General features: G+C 48.8%; 2 pseudogenes, besides 6 other annotated features; one reads left to right on the top strand and one right to left on the bottom strand.

Annotated features, from left to right (window-relative positions):
* RPS14P10 (ribosomal protein S14 pseudogene 10) lies at positions 820 to 1,215 on the bottom strand (annotated as a pseudogene).
* On the top strand, positions 4,063 to 4,828 carry EEF1B2P6 (eukaryotic translation elongation factor 1 beta 2 pseudogene 6; annotated as a pseudogene).
* Positions 10,097 to 10,648: an enhancer, noted in NCBI's record as "H3K27ac-H3K4me1 hESC enhancer chr7:131340839-131341390 (GRCh37/hg19 assembly coordinates)". NCBI's record gives its function as "activates a minimal SCP1, AML or CMV promoter by ChIP-STARR-seq in primed H9 embryonic stem cells {active_cell/tissue: H9 hESC(primed)}" and the evidence as "EXISTENCE:reporter gene assay evidence [ECO:0000049][PMID:30033119]".
* Positions 11,704 to 11,998: a silencer, noted in NCBI's record as "tiled region #15248; HepG2 Repressive DNase unmatched - State 12:CtcfO, and K562 Repressive DNase unmatched - State 25:Art". NCBI's record gives its function as "represses a minimal TATA promoter and a strong SV40 promoter by Sharpr-MPRA in HepG2 and K562 cells {active_cell/tissue: HepG2 | K562}" and the evidence as "EXISTENCE:reporter gene assay evidence [ECO:0000049][PMID:27701403]".
* Positions 11,704 to 12,038: a biological region, named in NCBI's record as "Sharpr-MPRA regulatory regions 8940 and 15248".
* Positions 11,744 to 12,038: a silencer, noted in NCBI's record as "tiled region #8940; K562 Repressive DNase unmatched - State 25:Art". NCBI's record gives its function as "represses a minimal TATA promoter and a strong SV40 promoter by Sharpr-MPRA in K562 cells {active_cell/tissue: K562}" and the evidence as "EXISTENCE:reporter gene assay evidence [ECO:0000049][PMID:27701403]".
* Positions 13,729 to 14,296: an enhancer, noted in NCBI's record as "H3K27ac-H3K4me1 hESC enhancer chr7:131337191-131337758 (GRCh37/hg19 assembly coordinates)". NCBI's record gives its function as "activates a minimal SCP1, AML or CMV promoter by ChIP-STARR-seq in primed H9 embryonic stem cells {active_cell/tissue: H9 hESC(primed)}" and the evidence as "EXISTENCE:reporter gene assay evidence [ECO:0000049][PMID:30033119]".
* Positions 16,797 to 17,500: an enhancer, noted in NCBI's record as "H3K4me1 hESC enhancer chr7:131333987-131334690 (GRCh37/hg19 assembly coordinates)". NCBI's record gives its function as "activates a minimal SCP1, AML or CMV promoter by ChIP-STARR-seq in naive H9 embryonic stem cells {active_cell/tissue: H9 hESC(naive)}" and the evidence as "EXISTENCE:reporter gene assay evidence [ECO:0000049][PMID:30033119]".

Here is a 27,764-nt window from a genome sequence, read left to right as displayed (position 1 = left end):
CCACCAGGTCCCTCCCTCAATATATGGGGATTGTCATTTGGATTACAATTTGAGATGAGAGTTGAGGAGGGACACAGCCAAATCATATCACCACCCTTTAGATTTCTCAAGTGAGAGTCCGGCACTAATCCCCTGAACAGCCTAAAGTGCAGGGGATGCTCATCCAGGCTTGAGGTGGGAGGCAGACCCCTCTGACCTCTCCCCTTCGGAGAGCATGCACCTTGGAGCTCACTAACAGGAGCTGATGCCATAAATCCTCCTCAAATCTCGAATCTCTGACTCATTTATACTCTCATGGTGGATGAGGGTTAAGGATTCTTCAGCTGGTCTTCCTTCATAAATCCTCCAATGGGACCTCACATCTCATCTGTTGTCTGGGTGCCTCAGCTGAAACTTCCACTTTACCTGCCATACTGATATACAAACCTGTGTAGTAATCATAGAAACATGAGCAAGAAGGAAATACTCCAACATCAGGATGGTTGCTATGCCCCTGGGGAGGAGGAGATGACAAGAAGGGCATTAGAGAGGGACACAGACGGTGGCCGGGATGGTGAATTTTATGTGTCAACTTGGCTGGGCCATTGCACCCAGATATTTCATGAAACATATTATTCTAGATGTTTCTGTGGATATATTTTCTAGATGAGACAAACGTCTAAATCAGTAGGCGCTGAGTACAGTGGATTACCCTCTGCAACATTGGGCAAGACAGCCAATCAGTTTGAAGGCCTGAGTAGAGCGAAGACTGACCTACCCCGACCAAGAGGGAATTCTGCCAAAAGACTGGCTTTGTTTGTTTGGTTTTGTTTGGTTTTTAGTTTACACAAAGGCAATTTATGAACAGCAAACAATTTGAGGAGTCCTGTTCACAGACAGTGACCACAGCAACCCTCCTTCCTGAAGATACTGTTGGAGGAGCTGGGGGTGATGTCCTCAATCTACCGGCTCTTCATACCTGAGCAGGCAAGGGCTCGGGGGACCAACCGCACCCCAGGTCCAGGGGTCTTGGTCCTATTTCCTCCTGTGGCCAGGAGCTTGATGTGTAGGGCAGTGATGCCCAGCTCCTTGCACCTCTGGACCACATCCTGAGCAGTCAACATGGCAGTACATGGGGAGGATTCATCTTGGTCAGCCTGCTCCTTCATCCCACCGGCCACATGGCAGGTGGTTCCCTGCCAGAAAGATCAGTGACATGGACAAAGGTGTCATTCAGGCTGCCTTAGGATTCAAACTGCAGCTCCTCCCTGGGTCAGCAGCCTGCTGGTCTATCCCAAAGATTTTGAATTTACCAGTTTCCACAATTGCCTGAGTCAAATCCTTAAGAGAGAGAGACCCTCTGATATGGTTTGGCTCTGTGTCGCCACCCAAATCTCTTCTCCAATTGTAATCCCCACATGTCAGGGGAGGGACGTGGTGGGAGGTGATTGGATCATGGGGGTGGATTTTTCCCATGATGTTCTCATGATAGTGAGTGAGTGCTCATGAGATCTGATGGTTTAAAAGTGTAGCACTTTCCCCCACCTCTCTGTCTCCTGCTCTGCCATGGTAAAGATGTGCTTGCTTCCCCTTTGACTTCCGCCATGATTGTAAGTTTCCTGAGGCCTCCTAGCCATGCTTCCTGTTAAGCCTTTGGGACTGTAAATCAATTAAACTTCTTTTTAAATAAATTATCCAGTCTCAGGTAGTTCTTTATAGCAGCATGAGAATACACCCTCTTTTTTTCTGTTTCTCTGGAGAACCCTAACTAATATAAGGACTTAACTATAGATGGACAAGGTGAGGCAAGATGAGTATTATGGCTTGTAAAAGTTTTTCTTTTTCATTTGTTGTTAAAACCTGCATGGGCAGTTCCTGCCTTTTGCCACAGTGCATTTTATCCTTAGGTCAGGTTATGTTGCTCTTGGCCAAAGACTGCTTTGAGACAAATGCATTCCTGGAAACTACGTTATAAATCCAATTGTCATAAAGCAGATTGAGCTTTCCCATGGAAACAATGTTAAGGCTGAAGAATTACAGCAGGACTAGTACCCTGCCCTTACACAGAACTTCGTAGGTCAAAAAGGACTTTCACATACACTGTTGCATTTACTTCTGGAAAGTAGGCAATATGATCTCTTCTTGTACAGAAGAAATTGAGGCACGCCAGGCGCGGTGGCTCATGCCTGTAATCCCAGCACTTTGGGAGGCAGAGGCGGGCGGATCACAAGGTCAGGAGATCGAGCCCATCCTGGCTAACACAGTGAAACCCCATCTCTATTAAAAATACAAAAAAAATTAGCTGGGCATGGTGGCGGGCGCCTGTAGTCCCAGCTACTCAGGAGGCTGAGGCAGGAGAATGGCGTGAACCCAGGAGGTGGAGCTTGCAGTGAGCCAAGATTGCACCACTGCACTCCAGCCTGGGCGACAGAGCGAGACTGCGTCTCAAAAAAAAAAAAAAGAAAAGAAAAAAAGAAATTGAGGCACAAAGAAACAATTTGCTAGGGTCAGATGGTTAATAAAGGACCCAGCTGGGACCCAGTCCTCATTTGGTAGTCTTTTCGACTTCTTAACCATGCAAGGTCTCAGCTTCACACATAACAAAAAGTGTAACCAATGCAAAAATTCCAGAACTCCGGGCCCCCACAACTAAAATTTTGCTCTTAAGTCACACATACACACACACACACAACACAGCATGCCGATTCCTCAAGAGACCTCTGAACTATAAAGTGACATTTAATATGTAAATAACCACCACAAAGGCCCAGTGTGGTGGTTCACACCTGCAGTCCCAGCGCTTTGGGAGGCCGAGGTGGGAAGATAGCTTGAGCCCTGGAATTTGAGACCAGCCTGGGCAACATGGCAAAATCCTGTCTCTACAAAAAAATACAAAAATTAGCCAGGCATGGTGGTGCATAACTGTGATCCCAGCTACCTAAGAGGCTGAGAGGAGAATTACATCGAGGTTGCAGTGAGCTGTGTCCGTGCCACTGCACCCCAACCTGGGCAGCAAAGCGAGATCCTGCCTCAAAAAAAAAAAACAAAAAAAAAACACCTTGGACTTGGCCTCTCCAGACCCCCTGCTGGGAGGCATAGCCTTTGGCTGTGATGACACTCCTACTTTGATATTGCAGCTATACTATATTCTGCTCCAGTAATAAATTGCATATTTGGATGCACCGCCATTGTGAATCTCTGAACCTTCTTTAGAAATTGAGCCCTGTTTAGCGGCAGCTGTAGTGCATCGCCACTGTTACAGGTTGAGTTATTTATTTTCCCCCAAAATGTATGTGTTGAAGTTCTAACCCCCAGTACTTCAGAATGTAGCCTTATTTGGAAGGCAGGTCATTGCAAATGGAACTAGACGAGATGAGTCATACTAGAGTAGAGTGGGCCCCTAATCCAATATGACTTATAAAAAGGAGAAATTTAAACAAAGGGAGAACATGCAAAATTTGGAGTTATCCTTCCACAAACCAAGAACTAGCAGACGCTAGGAGGAAGATCTGAAACAGATCTCTCCCTGGTGCCTTCAGAGGGAGCGTGGCTCTACCTACACCTTGACCTCAGACCTAGAAAGCCTCCAAATAAGTTTCTTTTTGTTAAGCCACCCAGCTTGTGGCACTGTATTATGGCAGCCTTAGCAGACTAATGTGTGTGTAGCAAGCCCCCATTCTCTCCCTCTCCTACCTGCAACAAATGCTGCTGTCAACTCAATTCTGGAATCCCTAGGTTCTCCCCCTCATCATTCTCCACATGGGACCCTGTGACTTTACCTCTCTCTCCCCAAGCGAATGTGTTCTCTTCTTAGCCAAAGCATTGCCACTTATTTGTAAAATACAAGTAGTTTGTCCACAGCATGGGGATTGCTTGCCCAGAGCCCTACATACTTGCTCTCTCATATGAAAGGAAAAATAAATCTTGGGGCCCCCTAATCACTAAGCTAAAGGGACAAGTCAAGCTGGAAACTGCTTAGGGCCAACCTGCCTGCCATTCTATTCAAAGTCACCCCTCTGCTCACTGAGATGAATGCATATGTGCCTGCGTCCTTTGGAGAGGCTAATCAGAAACTCAAAAGAGCTCTTTCTGCTGCTCCCCAGCTCTCGGATACAGCCGACACCATGGGTTTCGGAGACCTGAAAAGCCCCACCGGCCTCCAGGTGCTCAACGATTACCTGGCGGACAAGAGCTACATCAAGGGGTATGGTGCCATCACAAGCAGATGTGGCAGTATTTGAAGCCGTGTCCGGCCCACCACCTGCCGACTTGTGTCATGCCCTACGTTGGTATAATCACATCAAGTCTTACGAAAAGGAAAAGGCCGGCCTGCCAGGAGTGAAGAAAGCTTTGAGCAAGTATGGTCCTGCCGATGTGGAAGACACTACAGGAAGTGGAGCTACAGACAGTAAAGATGATGATGACATTGATCTCTTTGGATCCGATTATGAGGAGGAAAGTGAAGAAGCAAAGAGGCTAAGGGAAGAACATCTTGCACAATATGAATCAAAGAAAGCCAAAAAACCTGCACTTGTTGCCAAGTCTTCCATCTTACTAGATGTGAAACCTTGGGATGATGAGACAGATATGGCGAAATTAGAGGAGTGTGTCAGAAGCATTCAAGCAGACGGCTTAGTCTGGGGCTCATCTAAACTAGTTCCAGTGGGATACGGAATTAAGAAACTTCAAATACAGTGTGTAGTTGAAGATGATAAAGTTGGAACAGATATGCTGGAGGAGCAGATCACTGCTTTTGAGGACTATGTGCAGTCCATGGATGTGGCTGCTTTCAACAAGATCTAAAAATCCATCCTGGATCATGGCATTTAAATAAAAGCTTGAAAGATTAAAGAAAAAAGAAAGAAAGAAAGAAACTCAAAAGAATGCAACCATTTGTTTCTTATCTACCCATGACCTGGAAGCCCCCTCCCTGCTTCGAGCCTCCCGCCTTTGCTTCTAGTTGTCCTGCTTTTCCAGACCAAACCAATGTTCATCTTGCATATGTTGACTGCTGTCTCATGTCTCCCCAGAATGTATAAAACCAAACTGTGCTCTGACCACCTTGGCCACATGTCATCAGGACCTCCTGAGGCTGTGTCACAGGAGTGCATCCTCAACTTTGGCAAAATAAACTTTCTAAATTAGCTGAGACCTGTCTCAGTTTTTCGGGGTTCACACTCGAGAAGACATGGTGGCCAGCTTCAGAATCCCAAAGTGTCAGACAAGATGAGGCCTTAGAAGTCAGGTCTTCCAAGCCTTGCAATTTGCAGAAAAAGATGAGGACAAGGAAAGGGGGATCATTTTCCTAGGATCGCATGCATAACTCATTAATATTAGGGGTGTGATGATGACCCAGGAGTTCTCTCAACCCAGTGCCTTTTTATCTGTTCAATACTAGGTTTGCCTCCAGGGGTGACTCTCGTTACCAGCTGTCCTGATGTGTACCTGCCTTGCTCCTTAAAAGTAAATTGTGGGACAGGCATGGTGGCTCATGCCTGTATTCTTAGCACTTTGGAAGGCTGAGGCAAGAGGATTGTTAAAGGCCAAGAGTTCAAGACCAACCTGGCCAACATAGCAAGACCCCCATCTCTATTTTAAAAAAAATAATTTTTAAAACAAATAAAGTGAATTGAATTTAGAATAGCAAACTTGGGCCAGGAGCAGTGGCTCATGCCTGTAATCTCAGCACTTTGGGAGGTCAGGTGGGGAGGATCACTTGAGGTCAGCAATTCAAGATCAACCTGGGCAACATAGTGAGACCGCATCTCTACAAAACATTAAAAAAAAAAATTAGCAGGGCATAGTGGCACACACCTATGGTCCCAGCTACTTGGGAGGCTGAGGTGGGAGAATGGTTTGAACCTGGAAGATCAAGGCTGCAGTGAGCCATGATCACACCACTACACTTCACCCTGGATGACAGAGTGAGATCCTGTCTCAAAAAAAAAAGAATAGCAACCTTGATTGAGTCATCTTTGTAACCCCCTTCAGCAGTCCTTCACTGTGTGTTTAATTTTTTTTTTTTTTTTTTTTTGGAGAGACACGCTCTGGCTATATCGCCCAGGCTGGTTTCATTTAAACTATTAGGCTTATGTGATCCTTCCACCTCAGCCTCCCAGTTGAGACAACAGGTACACAACACCACAGCTGACTGATTTAAAAAAAAATTAAAAAATCATAGAGACAGAGTCTTGCTATGTTTCTCGGGCTGGTCACCAACTCCTCCCCTCAAGCGATCCTCCCACCTCAGGCTTCCAAAACCCTGGGATTACCATCATGAGCCACCATGCCTGGCCTAATAAATGTTTTAATTGGATTGATCAAAACATCCCTTTCTGTTCAAATCTAGAAGATCTATAGGGAATAAAACTCTAGGTCAGTGTTTCTCAAAGTGTGCCCAGGGGAACCCTTGCAAAACTTTTTTTTTTTTTTTTTTCGGAGATGGAGTCTTGCTCCATCACCCTGGCTGGAGTGCAGTGGCACGATCTCGACTCACTGCAACCTCCGCCTCCTAGGTTCAAGCGATCCTCCTGCCTCAGCCTCCTAAGTAGCTGGGACTACAGGCCCACGCTGCTATGCCCGGCTAAGTTTTTGTATTTTAGTAGAGACAGGATTTCACCATGTTGCCCAGGCTGGTCTCGAACTCCTGACCTCAGGCAATCCACCCACCTCAGCCTCCCAAAGTGCTAGGATTAGGGGCGTGAGCCACAGCACCCAGCCTGCAAAACTTATTTTTAAGTGGTATCCCCAGCCTCCACTGCAGACCACTGAGTGAGACTCTTTGGTCATGAGGCCAGGAAACAAGCCCCAGGTGATGTTTTCATCCATGCTGAAGCCCCTGTTCTCAACCTTGGCTGCACACAGGAACTGCCCACTTGGAGAGCTTTAAGAAACACAGATAAGCTGGGTGCGCTGGCTGACACCTGTAATCCCAGCACTTTGGGAGGCTGAGGAGGGTGGATCTCCTGAGGTCAGGAGTTCAAGACCAGCCTGGCCAACATGACGAAACCCTGTCTCTACTAAAAATACAAAAATTAGCCAGGCATGGTGGCAATGAGCCTGTAATCCCAGCTACTTGGGAGGCTGAGGCAGGAGAATCGCTTGAACCTAGGAGGCAGAGGTTGCAGTGAGCAGTGAGCTGGGATCGTGCCATTTTACTCCAGCCTAGGCAACAAGAGTGAAACTCCATCTCAAAAAAAAAAAAAGAAAAGAAAAGAAACACAGACACCTGGGTCCCACCCCAGAGACTAATTCAACTGGTCTGGAGTGCAGCCTGGGGCTGGGGGATTTTTAATAACTGCCCAGGTGATTCTCTGTGCAGGCAAGATCGAACCCACTGCACTAATGCTTTAAGACACTTGAGCATTCTGTGTAAAGAAAGAGTAAACAACTTGTCAGTTTGCTAGTACTCCCCCCACTTTTAAAACTCAAAGTTGCCAGGCATGGTGGCTCACGCCTGTAATCACAGCACTTTCAGATGCTGAGGCAGGTGGATCACCCGAGGTCAGGAGTTCAAGACCAGCCTGGCCAACATGGTGACAACCCATCTCTACTAAAAATACAAAAATTAGCCATGGGGGTGCCCGCCTATAGTCCCAGCTACTCGGGAGGCTGAGGTGGGAGAATCACTTGAACCTCGGAGGTGAAGGTTGCAGTGAGCCAAGATTGAACCACTGTACTTCAGCCTGGGCAAGAGAGTGAGACTCTGTCTCAAAAAAAAAAAAAAAGTTCCAAGAACCTACTCAGTCCTGGACAAACCAGGACTGTTGGTCACCCCAATAAGGAATGACATCTACATGCAATTAAAGATCAACAGGGGCCAGATGCGGTGGTTCACGCCTGTAATCCCAGCACTTTGAGGTCAGGAGTTTGAGACCAGCCTGGCCAACATGGTGAAACCCCATCTCTACTAAAAATCCAAAAAATTAGCCTGGCATGGTAGCATGAGCTGAAATCCCAGTTACTCAGGAGGCTGAGGCAGGAGAATCACTTGAACCCTGGAGGCAGAGGTTGTAGTGAGTCAAAATCGTGCCACTGCCCTCCAGCCTGGGTGACAGAGCAAGACTCCATCTCAAAAATAAAAAAATATGGCCGGGCACGGTGGCTCATACCTGTAATCCCAGCACTTTGGGAGGCTGAGGTGGCTGAACAGGAAATCGAGACCATCCTGGCTAACACGGTGAAACACCGTCTCTACTAAAAATACAAAAAAAATTAGCCTGGCATGGTGGCGGACGCCTATAGTCCTAGCTACTCAGGAAGCTGAGAGGCAGGAGAATGGCGTGAACATGGGAGGCAGAGCTTGCAGTGAGCCGAGATCATGCCACTGCACTCTAGCCTGGACAACAGAGCGAGACTCCGTCTCATAAATAAATAAATAAATAGGATCAACAGGGCACAAAAGTGCTATGTTAGGAACTACACAAAGGTGAGCCTAGTGTTTCTCAGTTGGAACCCCCCTCCCCAGCCCACCCAACTCTGATTCTCTCCAGTTCTTTCCACGTAGAGAGCTCACGGGGTGTTGCAGTTTTGCTGTAGGGTGGTGGCTGCCCCTGCATCTCTAGTCCTGATTTCCTGACAATTCAGAAAGCATTTCCATGTTGGCCCAAAGTTTCTGTTTCCTGTTCCCTCCCACACTATTTTTAGGTCCAGCAGACATTTCCTGCCTTGGCCTATCCCACCCGCCTCAGTGTCCATCCCAGCCTCTGATATCAGGGTGCATGGAGGGTGGGCCTCAAGGATGAAGTGTCTGATTCCAGGTCTGGGACCCTGGTGTCCAGGAGCAGCTTAGCACCAAGCAGGTGATCCCCCCAGGCTAAGTTGCTTTCCTGGTTTACTTTGTAAGCTGTAAAATAGTAGTTTCTCAGGTCCTTTTCCTTCAGCCTGCCTATACCAAGCTCCCTTTGCCTTTATCTGTCGGTCTACAGCCTTAAAGGTGGACGAGCCCAAAGTGGCGGTATGTTAGCTGACTGTGCTACAACTTACTGCGAGCAGACAGCAAAGTTTCAGGCTTAAAGGTCTATCTGCAGCCTCCATTTTCCAAACACCTCCTGTTTGTCAGGCATTGTTCTTGTCTCATTAAAGCTCACCACAGTCTTATGAGGTGGCAAAAGGCTTCATTTCCCAGGTTAGAAACCTGAAGCTCAGAGAGGTAAACAACTCACCCCAACGTGCACAGCGGCAGAGCCTCACCAAACTCCATTTCACCAACTGACCAACTGAAATGCGTCTATGTCAGCATTTCTCACCCTTTTCTCTTCTTTTTGCAATCACCCTCCTGTGGAGCCTTTATAGACATTTTTTCTCCTAACGCTCCCTCATTTATGCAACGTTAATGCTACAGATATACCACATATCAGTTTGTGGACTGAATGTATATCTGTGCTTTATACATTTAAAAAATAAGAATTTGGGCTGGGCACAGTGGCTCACACCTGTAATCCCAACACTTTGGGAGGTTGAGGCAGGAGGACTGCTTGAAGCCAGGAGTTTGAAACCAGCCTGGGCAACATAGCAAGACCCCGTCTCTACAAAAAGTTTTTAAAGTTAGCTAGGCATGTTGGCCTGCACCTGTAGTCTCAGCCACTTGGGAGGTTAAGGTGGGAGGATCACTTGAGCCCACGAATTTGAGGTCGTAGCGAGACCACTGTACTCCAGACTGGGCAACAGAGCAAGACCCTGTCTCTAAGGAAAAAAAAAAAGAAAGAAAAAAAGATTTTTTTGCTCTTCAGGAGCCAATTTCATCCCCTTCGGGTGGTAACACCCTTGTGGAGAATGTCAGCAGGGCTTGAAGTATTACTGATTTATTCTCTCTGCGTCAGATGCTGGTGGAGAAGAAGAAGGTAAAACCATAGAGAAATGTTTCCCAAACTGATATTCCCCAAACTGTAGTGTGGAGAGGCGGTTCCCAGGAAGGACTCCATGACCAAATGTACCTGGGAAATGCTGAATGCAACCCCCACCTCTTGAAAAGTCATTTTATCAAAACATCTGGGTAGCTACTTCAAAAAACTGTTTATTTTTACAACTTAAATTATGTTTTACCAATATATCCTAAGTTGACCATCAATCTCTCATTTTTCTCTTGTCTTCTCATTTTTTCCCTCTCTGCATTTGAAATTTTCATAAATTAATATTATAAAAATTAACTATATTATAAATATTAATTGTATTATATGATAGTGTAACTATTAATTCTATTATAACATTATATTAATTTTATAATATTGTATTATGATTATATTGATTATATATTATATACAATATTGTGATATTAATTATATTATTAATATTATAAATTACATAGAGTTAATGTTTATAGAACATCCTTTTGGAAATAAGCCATAGATACAGAGTTGCTTTGTATCCCAAGTCAGTCTTGCTGGTGACATTGGCCTGTTTAGGTGAATAAGCAGCTTTTTCTGTGATCCAGTCAAGCCAGGCCAGTCAGATCAAGGAGCTGTGACCATCAACTCCAAGAGAACACAGAAGCCTCAGCCCACCCCGCTGTATTTCAGCCAGGTGCAGGCAGCAGGAACCCAAGAAAAGAAAGACATCATGGCAATGTCATTAAACCCTCACTTACTTTGTGCCAGACAGCGAAGCTGCCACTGGCAGGCCGCACTCTCTCTGTGGGGGCCGCTGCTACCTGGTGGGAGCCCACAGCACAGAGCATGGGGCCCTGGCCTCCTAGGTCCAGGCCAATCAGCAGAGGTGCCTGGCTGCTCTAAGAGCCCCTCTTCCCCAGGCAGCACCAGCCTGTCGCCTTGAAATCCCCTGCCCTGTCTCCACTCTCCTATCCCAGTCATGTTCTAGAAAAGGGGCTACACACCTGGCTTCCGGGAGCTTCATAGACCGATTGCATCAGAATCTCAGAGCATCAGAATGTGAGTTTCACACAGATGAGTCTGAAAAGACCGGTGTGTGTATTCCTGAAACACTAACTCTTAAAGGCCCCCATGTCAGACGCTTTGGGGACAACAGCCTTGGCTCAGGTGAAGCCCCCTGATGCAGGCTTGTTGCATTTATCTTGATGTGGCCTCTTAGCTGTAGTCAGGACCCTGGAGGGCAGGATGTGTTTGTTCATCTTTTTTGTCCCCAGTATGTAGCACAGTGCCAGGCACGTGCTGCGGATTTAATGAATACTTGTTACATCAGTAACCAAATGTACAAATGAATGAAGGAATCATCGCGCACTTAGGGCAGAGCTATCAGCCCAGGCAGCTCTGTCTAAAGGACCAGGGCCTGTTCTTTAGGGAGAAGGGATCAGTAGTTAAAACTAGAACAATACCTGGACAGCACATCTGCAATTACTCACAGCATTTGCTTTAATTGCTTAGTAAATCCACACAATGTAACTTTATGCGTCTCAAATAATTCCCTTGTTTTTTTTGAAAATCCTTAATAGAAAATACACAGCAGGTGGGTGTTACGTGGAGTAGAAATGCCTGACCGCTGACACCTGGCCACCTTTCCCGTAAACTGGCAGGGACGGAACCTGTGCTGGGATCCTGGAGGGGCTGCTCCACAATAGCCACCTGATTCTGAGGGGGTTGCAAGCTCATCCTGTACCTCTCCTGTCATGCCTGAGGAGCCTGTGAGCTGCCACATCCTGTCACAGCCCCCTCCTCAGCCATGTCATCCTCACGACTGCCCTGGGAGGCAGGCAGCCTTGGAGACTTCACTCCCATTCACGCTGAGACGTTTAGGGAAACCTGAAATCCGACCCCCTTGGTACAGAGCTGAGAGAAGGAGGTAGAGGCAAGACGCTGAGGAGAAGAGACACAAGCAAAGAGGGGAACAAGGACCTATTCTCAAAAGAGGATGCGCCCAAGCCACGGCCGTGGTGAGACGCCCGGTTGCCCTTCCACTCTCGGCCACCAGGTGGCGGGCACAGGCCAACTAAGCCAGGCAGGGCTCAGGAGCAGCTGCCCAAAGGGCGGCCCAGGCAGAGACAGCACTGCCAAGGTGGGAACATGCCCAGGAGGACACCGCACAACACACACCACACACACCCCTACAACACATACCCCACAACACAATGTACCACATACCACACAAGGCACGCCACACACACCCCAACACACAACACACACACCCCTATAATACACACCCACAACACAACACACAAAACATACCACACCCACAAAACACACAATGCATCCCAACATCAGCTACACACACATACCCACAACACAAACCACACATATACACCCCAACACACACCACAAACACCCCTACGACACACACCCCACAACACAATGCACATATCACATAACACACACCACACATACACACCCCAATACACACCCCTACAACACACACCCCTACAACACAATTTACCACACAACTCACCACACATCCATACAACACATACCCCACAACACACACACACAGTACAACATACCACACAACACACATCACACACCCAACACAACACACAATGGACAACTCACCACACATACCCACACAACATAACACACAACACACACATCCCTACAACACACACCCACAATACAATGTACCAGACAACACACAACACACGCAACATACACACAACACATAATGCAACACATAAACCCTACACACACGTCACACAACACACACACAAATACACACCCCCACAACACATACCACTACAACACATACCACAACACACACACATCACACCACACACACAACACACAGCATACACACCCTACATATACAATACAGCACCCACACACAGCACACACAACATACACCACAACAAACACATACAGCACACACAAAACACATCACACACACACACACCCCACACACGCAGCAACTGCTCACTATCCCTCCACTTTGGGAGATGCTGGATTCTTCTGCCCCACTCCACACCCTGCTTATTCAGCCTCCAACCCCAAATGACCCCCCACAGCACTCCTCCCCTTAGTCTCCTGGTATCTACAAATTCCAAAGTGCCCTTCATCATCTTTTCCCAAACACGCCTGCCCAGGCCTTTCCCTCCCACTGTCCCCCCATCTCCACCGTCCACTCCTCATGAGGGAAAAATAAAACCTCCCCACAGCGGAACACTTTCTGCTTCGCCAGGAGTTTTCCCACCTGCTTTCCTTTTGACCGTCTCAACCATCCTAGGAGGAAATTATGAGGACTGCCATTAGATGAGTCAGAAAGCAGAGTCTGGGAGGCTGAGCTCCTTGCCCGTCCAGATGGGAGGACAGAGGCCAGCCTTCAGATCCCAGGGTGCACCTCTGCGACCCCCACATCCCACAACCAAACCTGCGTTCCACTCTACTCCCTCTCCAGACACACACCTGTCACCGCAAAGAAGCCCAGGTGTGATGGGAGGGACAGGTGAGGGGAATCGAGAGTCACTCCCCAGATGAGGCAGAGAGCCCCATTCCACAAGGCTCCATCTGCTTTTCCAGAAGTCTCTGCCCTGGAAAAGAGGCACTCACAACCAGAGCTGAATTCTCTAGGGCTGAATTCTCAGTCTTCTCTGCACAAAAGCAAAGAAGACTGAGAAAGTCACTTGCAACTTAGTGAATGGTCGTTTACTGCTGGAATTTGTCCCATGTGTTTATGACTCAGCACAGGGGCTCCAGGGACAAAGGTTCTCAACACCCTGGCCACACGAAATGGGAGCTAGGTCTCTGTGGGACTGAGGCCCCCTCCCCCCCTCCCCCCCTCCACAATTCCCAGCTTCAAGTTGTTTTAAGTACAGCAGAGGGACCCAATCCTCCTTTTGGAGGCAAGAGGCATCTGCATAAGCCCTGCCTGGATGTCATTTCTTCACCTGCATCCATAGCACCTTCAGGTGGCTCCTGTAGGGATGTTAAGAAGCAGTAATTAAGGCTGGGTGCCGTGGCTCACACCTGTAATCCCAGCACTTTGGGAGGCCGAGGCAGGAAGGATCACGAGGTCAGGAGTTTGGGACCAGCCTGGCCAACATGGTGAAAACCTGTCTCTACTAAAGATACAAAAAATTAGCTGGGCGTGGTGGCACGCACTTGTAATCCCAGCTAATCGGGATGCTGGGGCAGTAGAATCGCTTGAACCTGGGAGGCAGAAGTTGCAGTGAGCCGAGATCATGCCACTGCACTCCAGCCTGGGCGACAGGGCGAGACTCCGCCTCAAAAAAAAAAAAAGGCAGTAATTAGGACTGAACACCTAAGACAAGGGACAGGCAGAGGGTGGGGACAATTAACTCAGACACAGTGCAGGTCCTGGGGCTCAGGCCTCTTTCAGGTCAAACTCTGTTTTCAGCCCCCGGGGGCCTTCCTGACTTCCCACACGGAGCCCCTTACAGCCCTGAACCCACTTTAGGGTGGCTTTCAGACCTTGGGGTGTGGACACCTGCTCCTGGCCTTGGGGGGGCTTCTCTCAGGCTCAGCCTCCTGCCCAGAGCTAGGACTTAGGTGAGTCAAGTGAGCACCCAGGGCACAGATGTGCAGGGCGCTTCCTCTCGGGGCAGGTACTACAGCCTGAGCACCTCGCTGCCTCCTGCTAGCCCTGCTCCAAGCTACCCTTTCCCCTCCCATCCCTTCTTCCACCTCACACATCCATTTCTTCATCCCAAACGTGGAGATCACAAATCTCACACAGTGGGTGTGAGGCCCAAATGAAATGTCACCATTTCAAAAATGCAGGAATGTTTGTTCATTTTTCTTATTTCTATCTTTTGAAATGCTTCCCAAAGCAGTAGAGGTTCCTAGCTGAATCCTTCATTCAGAACGTGTAAACATGGCCAAGGAATGAGGGCTTGTTCTGGTGGAACAACCGTGTTCTTGGGGGTCAGGGAGGCGGGAGGAACAAAGACCTTTTCCACCTGCAATGGAGGTTCCCGAAAGTGTGAGAACTTCCTAAAGACCGTCACCTAAGACGTTAAAACAGTCCCTGGAGTTCAGTGGGTGTGCAATAATGGCCAGTAACAGCATAGTCCGAATCCAGGCTGGACACATCACACAACAGATGCGAGGTACCCCATGCTAAGATAATGTGGCATAAGAAACTGTGGTCTCGGCCAGGCGCGGTGGCTCACGCCTGTAATCCCAGCACTTTGGGAGTCCAAGGCAGGTGGATCACCTGAGGTCAGGAGTTCAAGACCAGCCTGACCAGCATGGTGAAACCCTGTCTCTACTAAAAATACAAAAATTATCCGGGCATGATGGCGTGTGCTTGTAATCCCAGGTACTCAGGAAGCTGAGGCAGGAGAATCGCTTGAACCTGAGAGGTGGAGGTTGCAGTGAGCCAACATTGCGCCCAAAGAAAAAAGAAAGAAAGAAAATGTTTTCTTTCCACACAACAGAACTTGATGCAGCTGTGGAAAGGAAGGAAACCTGCTACCTGCCACAACACAGAAGAACCTTGAGGTGAAGTGAATGATTACACATATGTCCATGAAAAGATTCCCCTTACTTAAGGGATCTAAAGAACTCAACCTCACAGCAACAGAAAGTAGGATGGCGGTTGCCAGGGGCTGTGAGGAAGGGAAATGGGGAGTTGTTCTTTAATGGGTACCATGTTAGCTTTGCAAGATGAAAAGTTCTGGAGATTTGTTGTATAACAATGTAGATATACTAACACTACTGAACAGTGTAGATATACTAACACTACTGAACTGCACATGTGAAAATGGTTAGGAGGGTAAATTTTATGTTACGTGGTTTTTTACTACAATTAAAAATAAATGAGGGCCAGGCGCGGTGGCTCACACCTGTAATCCCAGCACTTTGGGAGGCTGAGGCAGGTGGATCACATTGTCACGAGTTTGAGACCAGCCTGGCCAATATGGTGAAACCCCGTCTCTACCAAAAATACAAAAATTAGCCAGGCATGGTGGTGGGAGCCTGTAGTCCCAGCTACTCGGGAGGCTGAGGCAGAAGAATCGCTTGAACCCGGGAGGCAGAGGTTGCAGTGAGCTGAGATCGAGCCATTTGCACTTCAGCCTGGGTGTCAAAGAGAGACTCCGTCACAAAAAAAATAAATAAATAAAAAATAAAAAAAAAAGTCCAGGTGTGGTGGCTCATGCCTATAATGCTAGTACTTTGAGAGGCTGAGGTAGGTGGATGGCTTGAGCCCAGGAGTTCAAGACCAGCCTGGGCTACATAGGGAGGCCCCCTCCCCGACTCCCATCCCTACAAAATATTTAAAATTAGCCAGGTATGGTGGCATGTGCCTGTAGTTCCAGCTACTCAGGAAGCCCAGGGAGTCAAGGCTGCAGGGAGCCATGATGATGCCCCTGCACTTTAGCCTGGGTGACAGGAGACTGCCTCTAAAATAAAGAAATATAAACTAAGAATGAATGATGAGTGAATGAATCTGAGTGAATGGGGACCCAAGCACAGAGTTCGAAATCTGAGACGGATCAGCCGAGAGCATCCCTCCCTCCACCGCCCCACAGTTTCACCCAGCTGAGACCAAGTTTCCACAAACAACCAAGCCAGTTTCAAAGGGGAAAGGAAATCACAGGGACCATGTGGAGGAGGTGGAAGGAGTTTGTTTAGATGATCGTTGTAAGAATTTCTGAGTTCAAGGTTTGTCATGTGCGCTGCGTTGAAGGCCATTTTAAGCGTCAACTCAGTGAATCCCTCCTTTCCAGGCACCTCCAGCACAGCCCCCAAACTGCAGGCACCCGCTCAGTGCTGGGCACACCCTCGCCGAATGATTTTGTCTGAGCCTTGGCCCCCCACCACCCCACGCAGGCCTAAAGCACACACAGCCAGGGATCCCCGGCAGGATTCCAGTTCCAGAGTCCTCGGTAGCATCTACCCAGGGAGCAGCCAAGACAGCCAGCATCCCCAGGTGACTGCACGCTTTCTGCCTACACCCTCCTGAATCTACTGTACTCAAACGTGGCCTCGTCACCTGGATGTTAAGACAGCAAGAACCCTGGCAAAGTGGGAACCAAGTGGACCTATCAGGAAGACAAGTGATGATGGCATTTCTGACCCCATGGGCAAAAGGCTTCTGTGAGAGCTTGCAGAGGCAAGCGTGTCAAGGCAGCCAGGGCTAGAGATGGAGGCCAAGCATCATCGCCCATGGCCTAGTTCTACCACTTTAAAAGGAAATGCCTCCCCAGCTCATGATACATGGCAGGCACTTTGCACAACTTATCTGATTTTGTCCGGGTGACCACCCTAAGGTGGCTGCTAATGTTCCATCCCAGGAGGCTCCAAGTTGTTGACTGGCTTGCCAGAGGTCAGGCAACCAAGGAGGGGTGGTGGCAGGATGGGAAGTTAAGCCTGCCTCTGAGGAGCTAGCACTGTCCCCCATCCCCCACCTCACTGTCCAGCACTTCAGCAGTCAGCCACGGGGTCCAGGGCCTCTGCGTGGGGACATCACCAACTCAGCTTCCCAGACGAGCTCAGGCTCAGCTCCTAAGAGCCTCCTCCTTCCCCAACCCTTGGCATAGAAAGTGTTAACGTGAGCGTCACAGCCAAACTCCTAACACCTGTTCCCTAACTCTCTGCATTTCCCAAACCCCACTGGTTTCCAAACCAGTCCTGGGCCTTAATTCATCATGCACCTTTTTAAACTTGTAATTGTAAATGAACTTTTCCTTCCTGCCTTTCTAGCCTCAGGTCACCCCAGTCTTTTGGAAAAAGTGACATCACACTTTGCATCCTTGCCTGTTGGTCAATTTCTTCTGTTCCAGCTCTGAGTTTTTGGCAATTTTTCTCTTTTCTTCCCTTCCTTGGACTCTCCTTGCTAACCCTTCAATTGTTTTGTAATCCTCCTCAGAGCATTCCTACTAGGAACATATTTACACTCCTCAATCTCTTGTTTTCACAGAAGAATAACACAAAAGCAAACACCACAACCACCACAATCAAAGCAGATAATTCCCAAGCTCTGGAAGCAACGCCTTTAAAGAATGGAGTCAGGTTTGATTTTGGGTGGGGGTGGGTCGGTGGAGGGTTGGGGCAGAGGAGGAGACATTCCTGGCTTAGGAGCAGGGAGTTTAGGGTTATCTCAAAATAATTGCACTTAAAAGTGGTTGCTTCACTTCAAAGGAGCTTTTAGGGCTGATGTGGGCTCTGGCCATCAGAGCCTGTCCACCGAGCATGCAGTAAAAATGTGAGAAAGAACAGAATCAGGGCCCCACCCTCCACACTACCCTGGGTCCCACACAGACAGCCAGGCTGCCAGGGCAGATTCCAGAGCTCTTTACAGGCATTACTGTGAATCTCACCTCCTCGCAAGATAGCCTCTTTTGTGGCAAAGGGAGAAACTGAAGCAGAGGGCAGGTGGTACCCAGTCCTCATGAAGCAATGAGGACTCTGGGCCACCCTGGACCTATCTCTCTTCCCACCCCCCGCCCTCCCACCACCCAACAACAACCCCTCACCAGGCTTCCTGCCTCACTTGGTGGCTTTCACACATGTCCCAGGCTGTGGGGGACCGTGGTGGTAGAAGGGGCTTCTGGAGAGACCCAGTGTCCAACGGGGAGACCATCATCACACACACAAGCCCCATGCCTCCGAAGGGCCAGGCCTCTGGGTTGATTGTCAAGAAGCAATTAGAAAAAGTAATGATGGACAACCTTTAGTGAGCACTTATGCTAGGGATTTGGCTTCACACCAAGGGCATTTTTCTCCTTTAAGCCTCCTCACCACCCAGTGAGGTAGCTGATCTAACCATTTCCAAAATTCAGACAGTGGTTCAACATCACCAAACATTAGGGAAAAATGAAAATCAAAACCACACTGAGGGCTGGGCACCATGGCTCATGCCTGTAGTCCCAACACTTTGGGAGGCTGAGGTGGGCAGATCACTTGAGTCCGGGAATTTGAGACCAGCCTGGGGAACATGGTGAAACACCATCACTACTAAAAATACAAAAATTATCCAGGCATGATGATGCATGCCTGTAGTCTCAGCTACTTAGGAGGCTGAGGCAGGAGGATCGTTTGAGCTCGGGATGCAGAGGTTGCAGTGAGCTGAGATCGCACTGCTGTACTCCAGCTTGAGCAACAGAGTGAGACCCTGTTTCAAAGGAAAAAAAAGAAGAAGAAGACAAAATCACAAGGAGATATCACTTCACAACCCGTAGGAGGCCATTATTAAAAAAAAAAACTAAGAAGTGTTGGCAATGATGTGGAGAAGCTGGAATCTTGGGCACTGTTGTGGGATTGTGACATGACGCAGATGCTGTGGAAACCAGCATGGTGGTTCTACTAAATAGATAACAAATCATTCTCAGAAGAACACAAGGATTCATGAGAATATGAGTGGCTTCAGATGTCTGTGCCCCAGATGATGCATTTTGATCAATAAATGAAGTGAATTCTTTCAAATAAAATTAGAACGGCCATATGATCCAGCAATTCCACTTCCGGATAATACCCCAAATAATTGAAAGCTGGGACTCAAACACCCGTGTTCATAGGAGCGCATTCATAATAGGCACGAGGTGGAAGCCATCCAAGTTTCCATCGATGGATAAATGGACAAACAAAATGTGGTATATTCATCCAATAGAATATTATTCAGCCTTCAAAAGGAAGGGAATTCTTTTGGCTGGGCGCGGTGGCTCACACCTTTAATCCCAGCACTTTGGGAGGCCGAGGAGGGTGGATCACGAGGTCAGGAGTTCAAGACCAGTCTGGCCAACATAGTGAAACCCTGTCTCTACTAAAAATACAAAAAAAAAATTATCTGGGTGTGGTGGTGTGCACCTCTAATCCCAGCTACTCGGGAAGCTGAGGTAGGAGAATCACGTGAACCTGGGAGGCGGAGGTTGCAGTGAGCCGAGATTGCACCATTGCACTCCAGTGTGAGACTCCATCTCAAAAAAAAGGCCGGGCCTGGTGGCTCAATCCTGTAATCCCAGCACTTTGGGAGGCCGAGGCGGGTGGATCACGAGGTCAACTGTTCAAGACCAGCCTGGCCAAGATGGTGAAACCCCGTCTCTACTAAAAATACAAAAATGAGCCGGGCGTCGTGGCGGGTGCGTGTAATCCCAGCTACTTGGGAGGCTGAGACAGAGATTTGCTTGAACCCTGGAGGCGGAGGTTGTAGTGAGCCGAGATCACACCACTGCACTCTAGCCTGGGCAACAGAGTGAGATTCCGTCTCCAAAAAAAAAAAAAAAAAGGAAAGGAATTCTGGGAGGGGCACAGTGGCTCACACCTGTAATGCCAACACTTTGGGAAGCCAAAGCAAGAGGATCTCTGGAGGCCAGGAATTCAAGAACAAGCTGGGCAACATAGCAAAACTCAGTCTCTATTAAAAGTTGTTGGTTTTTTTTTTTTTTTAATTAGCTAGACATAGTGGCACACGCCTGTAGTCCCAGCTACTCAGGAGGTTGAGGTAGGCGGATCGATTGCTTGAGCCTAGGAGTTCAAGGCTACAGCGAGCTAGGATTGCACCACTGCACTCCAGCCTGGGCAGCACAGCAAGATCCTGTCTCAAAAAAAAAAAAAAAAAAAGGAAATTCTGACACAGACTACACACCATGGATGAAACTCAAGGACATTATGCTAAGTGATATAAGCCAGTCACAAAAGACAAATACAAATACTGTATAATTCTATTTACATGAGGTACCTAGAGTAGTTAAATTCACAGAGACAGAAAGTAAAATGGTGTTTCAAGGGGCTTGGCTGGAAGTTTCAGTTTTGCAAGTTGAAAAGTTCTGGGGATAAATGGTGGCACAACATTATGAATGTACTTAATGCCACAGAACTGTGCCCTTAAAAATGGTTAAGATGGTAAATTTTATTTTACGTGTATCCTATCACAATTTAAAAGATTTTTTATCTTTTTAATTTTTATTTATTTATGTATTTATTTTTGAGATGGAGTCTCATCACTCAATCTGTCACCCAGGCTAGAGTGCAGTGAGTGGTGCAATCTCAGCTCACAGCTCACTGCAACCTCTGCCACTCGGGTTCAAGTGATTCTTCTGCCTCAGCCTCCCCAGTAGCTGGGATTACAGGTGTGCACAACCACGCCTGGCTAATTTTTATATTTTCAATAGAGACAAGGTTTCACCATTTTGACCAGGCTGGTCTCAAACTCCTGACCTTAAGTGATTCGTCCGCCTTGGCCGCCCAAAGTGCTAGGATTACAGGCGTGAGCCACCACGTCTGGCCTTTAAAATATTTTTTAATGAGGAAATTAAATTGTCCAGGATTAAGAAACTCTCCCAAGTGCAGGGCTGAAATTTGAACTCAAGATCTACCTGGGTGCCAGGCGAGGTGGCTCATGCCTGTAATTCCAGCACTTTGGGAGACTGAGGCGGGTGGATCACAAGGTCAAGAGATCGAGACCATCCTGGCTAACACAGTGAAACCCTGTCTCTACTAAAAACACAAAAAATTAGCTGGGTGTGGTGGCGGGCGCCTGTAGTCCCAGCTACTCAGGAGGCTGAGGCAGGAGCATGCCATGAACCCAGGAGGCAGAGCTTCCAGTGAGCTGAGATCGCGCCACTGCACTCCAGCCTGGGTGACAGAGCGAGACTCCATCTCAAAAAAAAAAAAATCTACCTGAGGCCAAAACACCCGACTTCCAAAGCTTTCTGTAGAGTTGGCCACATTCCCTTGCCTGTGTCCTGGTAACCACAGCACACTTTTCCCAGCCGACACTCCAGGCTCAGGTGCACTTGGTGGTTGGGGCATATGCATCTATTAATCCATGCCTATTTTTTGGGCACTTATGCACCAGGCTGTGTGCCAGGCATAGGGTATGATGATGAATAAGACAGAGCAGGTTCTTGTCCTCATGCTACTTATATTCTATGAGGAGAGACAGACAATAAATACATAAACAAATATCCAAGAAAATGACAGATCATAATGAGAATTGTTAAGGAGATAAACTATTAATAAGAAGGGGAATAAGGGAGGGTGGGAGGAGAGAGCAGGTGGCTTTAGCTGGGATTGTCAGGGAACGACCTTCTGAGGAGGGGACATCTCAAATGGGGCCTACAGGTGTTGCCAACAGAGGATACAGTTTATCAAAGACGGAGCCAGGAACAAGCTCACCACGGTGAGAGAGAGGGGGCCAGAGTGGCTAACCCAGAGAGAAGGAGGTGAGAAGGGGTAGGAGATGGAGATGGAGAAGCATCGGGCCAGGTTCTAAGCGGCCCTGGAGGGCTTGCTGAACAGTCTGAATTTTCGTTTTTTTGTGTGTGTGTTTTTCTTTTTTTTTTTTTTTGAGACAGAGTCTGGCTCTGTAGCCCAGGCTGGAGCACAGTGGGGCGATCTCTGCTCACTGCAAGCTCCGCCCCCCGGGTTCATGCCATTCTCCTGCCTCAGCCTCCCGAGTAGCTGGGACAACAGGTGCCCGCCACCATGCCCAGCTAATTGTTTTTTGTATTTTTAGTAGAGACGGGGTTTCACAGTGTTCGCCAGGATGGTCTCAATCTCCTGACCTCGTGATCCGCCCGCCTCAGCCTCCCAAAGTGCTGGCATTACAGGCGTGAGCCACCGCGCCCGGCCCAACAGTCTGAATTTTCTAAGGGCAATAGGAACAATTGAAGGGTTTCAAACAGGGAGTCATAGTGTTTGATTTTTGCTTTAGAAAAAACTCATAGGTGTGGCTTTTTTCTATGTGAAGTGAACTTGTCCCTGGGGTGTCATCAAACCTCTGCTCTATTGGGGGACTCAGGGCTCAAACCAGGACCTCTTGGAGTCTCCTGGATGGAGGCGTCCTGGCCCGCGATACAAATGCACTTTACTTTCGGCCAGGCGCGGTGGCTCACACCTGTAATCCCAGCACTTTGGGAGGCAGAGGCAGGTGGATCACGAGGTCAGGAGTTCAAGACCAGCCTGTCCAACTTGGTGAAACCCCGTCTCTACTAAAAATACAAAAAAATTAGCCGGGAGTGGCGGCGGGCGCCTGTAATCCCAGCTACTAGGGATGCTGAGGTAGAGAATTTCTTGAACCTGAGAGGTGGAGGTTGCAGTAAGCCGAGATCATGCCACTGCACTCCAGCCTGGGTGACAGAGCGAGACTCTGTCTCAAAAAAAAAAGAAAAAAATGCACTCTACCCAGATCTTCTGCACCTTTGCCCCCTGGGGCACACTGACCTTTCCAGAAGGCTCTCTCAGAAAGAAGAGGGCCTTGAAGACAGCACCATATCCGGGAGTAGCTGAGAAACACTCTGAACTGTCACGGAAGGGCTGGGGGCTAGACCTGCCTTTCCCCAGTCTCCACATCCCCGATCTGTAATAGAGAACCAGTAGGGAGAGGGAGGAGGAAATCCCTGCTCGTCTTTGCTGAATTATGACTTAAGGAGTCAGTGTAGGAAGGATGTGGGAATTAATTCCCTAAGTTACAAGGTGCCCTTTCTCTAAAAGGTGGAGTATTTTTAGCTTCCTAAGCAGCTCAAGAGAGTCAGGAGCTGTTTACACACGAGACAGCTGAGACGCAGAGATTTCTGAAGACCCTAATCACTGACAGAACCACAAAGAGAACCCGGGTGTTCCCTTCCCAAGTGTGGCAGCCCCGGGGCCCCTGTACCTGTCTCGTCTATAAGCAGGAACCTGTGCTCCCAGGATTGGCCAGCCTCGTGGCTATTATACCTGCTGTCACCCAAGGCCCACCCTGGACCTTCTGAACTCTCTATCAGCTGCTAGCCCTTACACAATCCATCTCCATCTGCCCAAACTGTCAAAACTACGTGGCAGGGGGAGTGATGCTTTGCTTGACCACCACGATGGTTTACATTAAAATAACCCAGCTTCAGTTAGGCAGCCTGGATGGGGCTCCCTGTGTGCTCAGACTCTGAGCTGATCATTCTCTCTTCTCCGAGCTTCAGTGTCCCTGTCTCTGGGATGTCCTCAGTCTCTCCTCTGCGCCTCCTGCCATCCCTGTTTTCTGGTACCTACAATGGCCACCCCTTCTAAGCTGGGATAGCCAAGGCTTCATCTTCAGCCATCTGGTCCTCCCACCTCACGCTCCCCTGGACTGGAACCATCACCCCCTTCCAGAGGGGACCCAGCACCACCTCCAGCTCTAATCCAGCTCTGGGCTAAAGAGGCCAAATGACTACAGAACCCACACCCCTGTGACTGTCCTACAGACACAAAACTTAGCTTGACTGACGCCAAAATAATTACTTCCTTCCCCAGACTGGCTCCCTCTCCTGGGTTCCATCTTCTTAAATGCCACAGCATTTGGCAGCCAGACATTCATCCTCTCTGACTTCACCCATGCTCATTTCCCAGGGGAAGTGACTAGGTGGAAGAGTTCTCCTTTCAGCGTGCCTCTCCCCACTGTCCTCTCACCATCCCCACCACCATGCCCGGCCCTCACTCAGGCATGTGGCTCTGTGGCCTGGATGACCACAGTGTAACTCAAATGGCCACTAAGCTTCTGAGCCCTCCCCGACACCAACCACCAGAGGTATTTCTCCAAATCATAGATCTATCCGCACATGTGACTTCCTGATTCCAAAATCTTCCATGGTCCCCCACGGCCTCCGAGCCCTTCCTAATCCATTTTAACCACCTTTCAGAGGCTGCTCTCACACTCTGCAAAGCGCCCTTCTCCTCAGCAAGGCCACGTTAGTCGTTTCCAAAGGCACCACGCACTTTTTACTCACTTTCTTCGTGCAGTCCCTCTGCCTAAAATGAGAGTCCTTCCCTCCACTCCTACCACTAGGCAAAACCTAGACTCCATTCAGATGCAGTCTCCAGCGAGGGGGGCTTTCTCTGACCCTCTGTCCTAGGGGCTGCGTCACCCTGGCTACATCACCCAAAGTGCTGGGATTACAGGCATGAGCCACCACACCTGGCCTAATTTTTGCATTTTTAGTAGGGTTTCACCATGTTGGCCAGGATGGTCTCGATCTCTTGACCTCGTGATCCGCCTGCCTCAACCTCCCAAAGTGCCAGGATTACAGGCATGAGCCACCGCGCCCAGCCTCCACTGGTAATTTTCTATTTATAGGTCCTATTCTTTGTATCAGTCTTGAGCCGCTGGGCTACGGTCCTTTGGGTGATGGTCAGCTTCACCTGCCTGGGAGCTCCTGAATAAGGGCAGGTCCTGCCTCTGTATCCCTGGCTCCTCTCAAGGTGCTAAGCACATCAGGTGCTCAAACATTGACAGAATTAGATTCATTCATACATTCATTCATTTATTCAGTCAACAATATTTATTTAGACCCCCTCTCTATGCAAAGCATGGTTTTAGGCACTGGGGAGAGCGGAGGCAGGTGGTGGTGGTGTGCAAGGATGCTTAACCCAGAATCCACTAGAGAGCTAAGATGTGTGGCCGGGCACGGTGGCTCATGCTTGTAATCCCAGCACTTTGGGAAGCCAAGGTGGGCAGATCACCTGAGGTCGGGAGTTTGAGACCAGCCTGACCAACATGGAGAAACCCCATGTCTACTAAAAATACAAAATTAGCTGGGTGTGGTGGTGCATGTCTGTAATCCCAGCTACTTGGGAGGCTGAGACAGGAGAATCACTTGAACCCGGGAGGCGGAGGTTGCAGTGAGCCAAGATCACGCCATTGCACTCTAGCCTGGGCAACAAGAACAAAACTCCATCTCAAAAAAAAAAAAATGTGCACACTCATACCTGTGCCACCTGACATGTGACCCATGGCACATGCTTGACCCAGAATCCACTAGAGACCTAAGATGCATACACTCATACCTGGTCCATCTGACACATAAGAAGGGCTGTGTGAACGCTGCAAAAGGCAGGGGGGTCCCATGGAGGGACATATCCCAGCACAGTGACTGCCTCTTCCCCAACAGTCCAAGGGGCCTGCTTGGGACCCAGGCCTAGGAAGGGGGTTGGAAGCTATTGTTGAACACCAGGCAGCATCAAGCATTCCAGTTCAGTTCTGTTCAAAAATGCTTCAGGCACCGTGCTAGGAGCTACTCAGACATGTGAGTTCCCACTGTCCTTCACGGTCTCAGATCCCATGACCTTCAGGAAGACCTCTCCGTCTGCCCCAGGCCACAAGAACGTTCACTCCTCCAGACTCCTACCGCACTCACTCCCCTGCAGTGTGGAAAAATTGTGCTCCACCAGTTATTTTCTTTTTTGTTTTTTGAGATAGAGTCTTGCTCTGTCACCAGGCTGGAGTGCAGTGGCACAATCTAGGTTCATTGCAACCTCTGCCTCCCGGGTTCAAGCGATTCTCCTGCCTCAGCCTCCCGAGTAGCTGGGACTACAGGTGCACACCACCATGCCCAGCTTTTTTTCTTTTTTTTTTTTTTTTGAGATGGAGTTTCGCTCTTCTCGCCCAGGCTGGAGTGCAATGGCGCGATCTCAGCTTACCACAGCCTCTACCTCCCAGGTTCAAGTGATTCTCCTGCCTCAGCCTCCCAAGTAGCTGGGACTACAGGCACCTGCCACCACGCCTGGCTAATTTTGTATTTTTAGTAGAGATGGGATTTCTCCATGTTGGTCCGGCTGGTCTCGAACTTCTGACCTCAGGTGATGCAACCACCTCGGCCTCCCAAAGTGCTGGGATTAAAGGCATGAGCCACGGCGCCTGGCCTAATGTTTGTATTTTTAGTAGGGTTTCACCATGTTGGCCAGGATGGTCTCGATCTCTTGACCTCGTGATCCGCCTGCCTCAGCCTCCCAAAGTGCCAGTATTACAGGCACGAGCCACCATGCCCAGCCTCCACCAGCAATTTTCTATCTATAGGTCCTATTCTTTGTATCAGTCAGTGCCCAGCAGAAAACAAATAGCACACTCTAACTAGGATGATTGCAGGAAAGATTTTTTTTCGAGATGGAGTCTCACTCTGTCGCCCAGGCTGGAGTGCAGTGGCATGATCTCGGCTCACTGCAACCTCCACCTCTCGGGTTCAAGCAATTCTCCTGCCTCAGCCTCCCAAGTAGCTGGGACTACAGGTGCGCACCACCACACCCGGCTAATTTTTGTATTTTTAGTAGGGTTTCACCATGTGGGCCAGGATGGTCTCGATCTCTTGACCTTGTGATCCGCCTGCCTTGGCCTCCCAAAGTGCAGGGATTACCTGGCTAATTTTTGTATTTTTTAGTGGAGACAGGGTTTCACCATGTTTCCCAGGCTGGTCTTGAGCTCCCAACCTCAACTGATCTGCCCGCTTTTGCCTCCCAGAGTGTGGGATTACAGGCCTGATGAGCCACTGTGCCTGGCCTATTGTAGGAGAGTTTTAAAAAGAAAGGGGCTGTTTACACAGGGCAGATTGAAGAGGAACCAGAAGAGACAGGGCTATACCCCAGGGCTGGAACAAGGCACCTATTCCCCCTTTGAACTGAAGGAACTAGGAAAAGGTTTACCACTAGTCCTGGAGAAGAGGGAAAATAGGACACTTGGACAGAAGGCACAGCTGTCCCTTCAGGGATCCCCAGAGAGGGAGCGGGAAAAATAAATCCCCAAAGCATCTTCCTCTATCCCACTGATCTTTTGCCAGAGCTTCCTGCTGGCCAAACGGAGGGCAACGGAGGCCCCAGTGTAGTCTGCACGAAATGCAGACAGGGGTGGGGCTAGGCCCCCAGGGGCAAACAGGTGATATCTGACACATTCTCCAAACTTCAGGAAGCTCCCAGGCGCAAGAGGTGTTTGTTCTGCACCTGGCATCAGCCTCGCTCAGAATGCACCTTGAGAGTGTTCTGGCTGAATTAGTGACCATCATGTTCCTTCTCAAGGTTGCTCCTAGCCCTCCTCAGGGACAGACTCATTCAAAGCAAAGGAGATCTGCAGACGGAGACCAAAAGCCTGGAACTCTGGAGAGAGCTGGCCTGAACTGGACTTTAGGACAGGAAGGCAGTGTCTCTGCACCTCAGTGACTTGACCTGTTAAAAATAAAACCAATTAAGAATCAGAGGATTGTTACA

Source organism: Homo sapiens, chromosome 7 (assembly GCF_000001405.40).
Source record: "Homo sapiens chromosome 7, GRCh38.p14 Primary Assembly".
Taxonomy (NCBI): domain Eukaryota; kingdom Metazoa; phylum Chordata; class Mammalia; order Primates; family Hominidae; genus Homo; species Homo sapiens.
The sequence above is the reverse complement of the archived record's forward strand: the minus strand, read 5'-3'. Positions and strand labels throughout refer to the sequence as shown.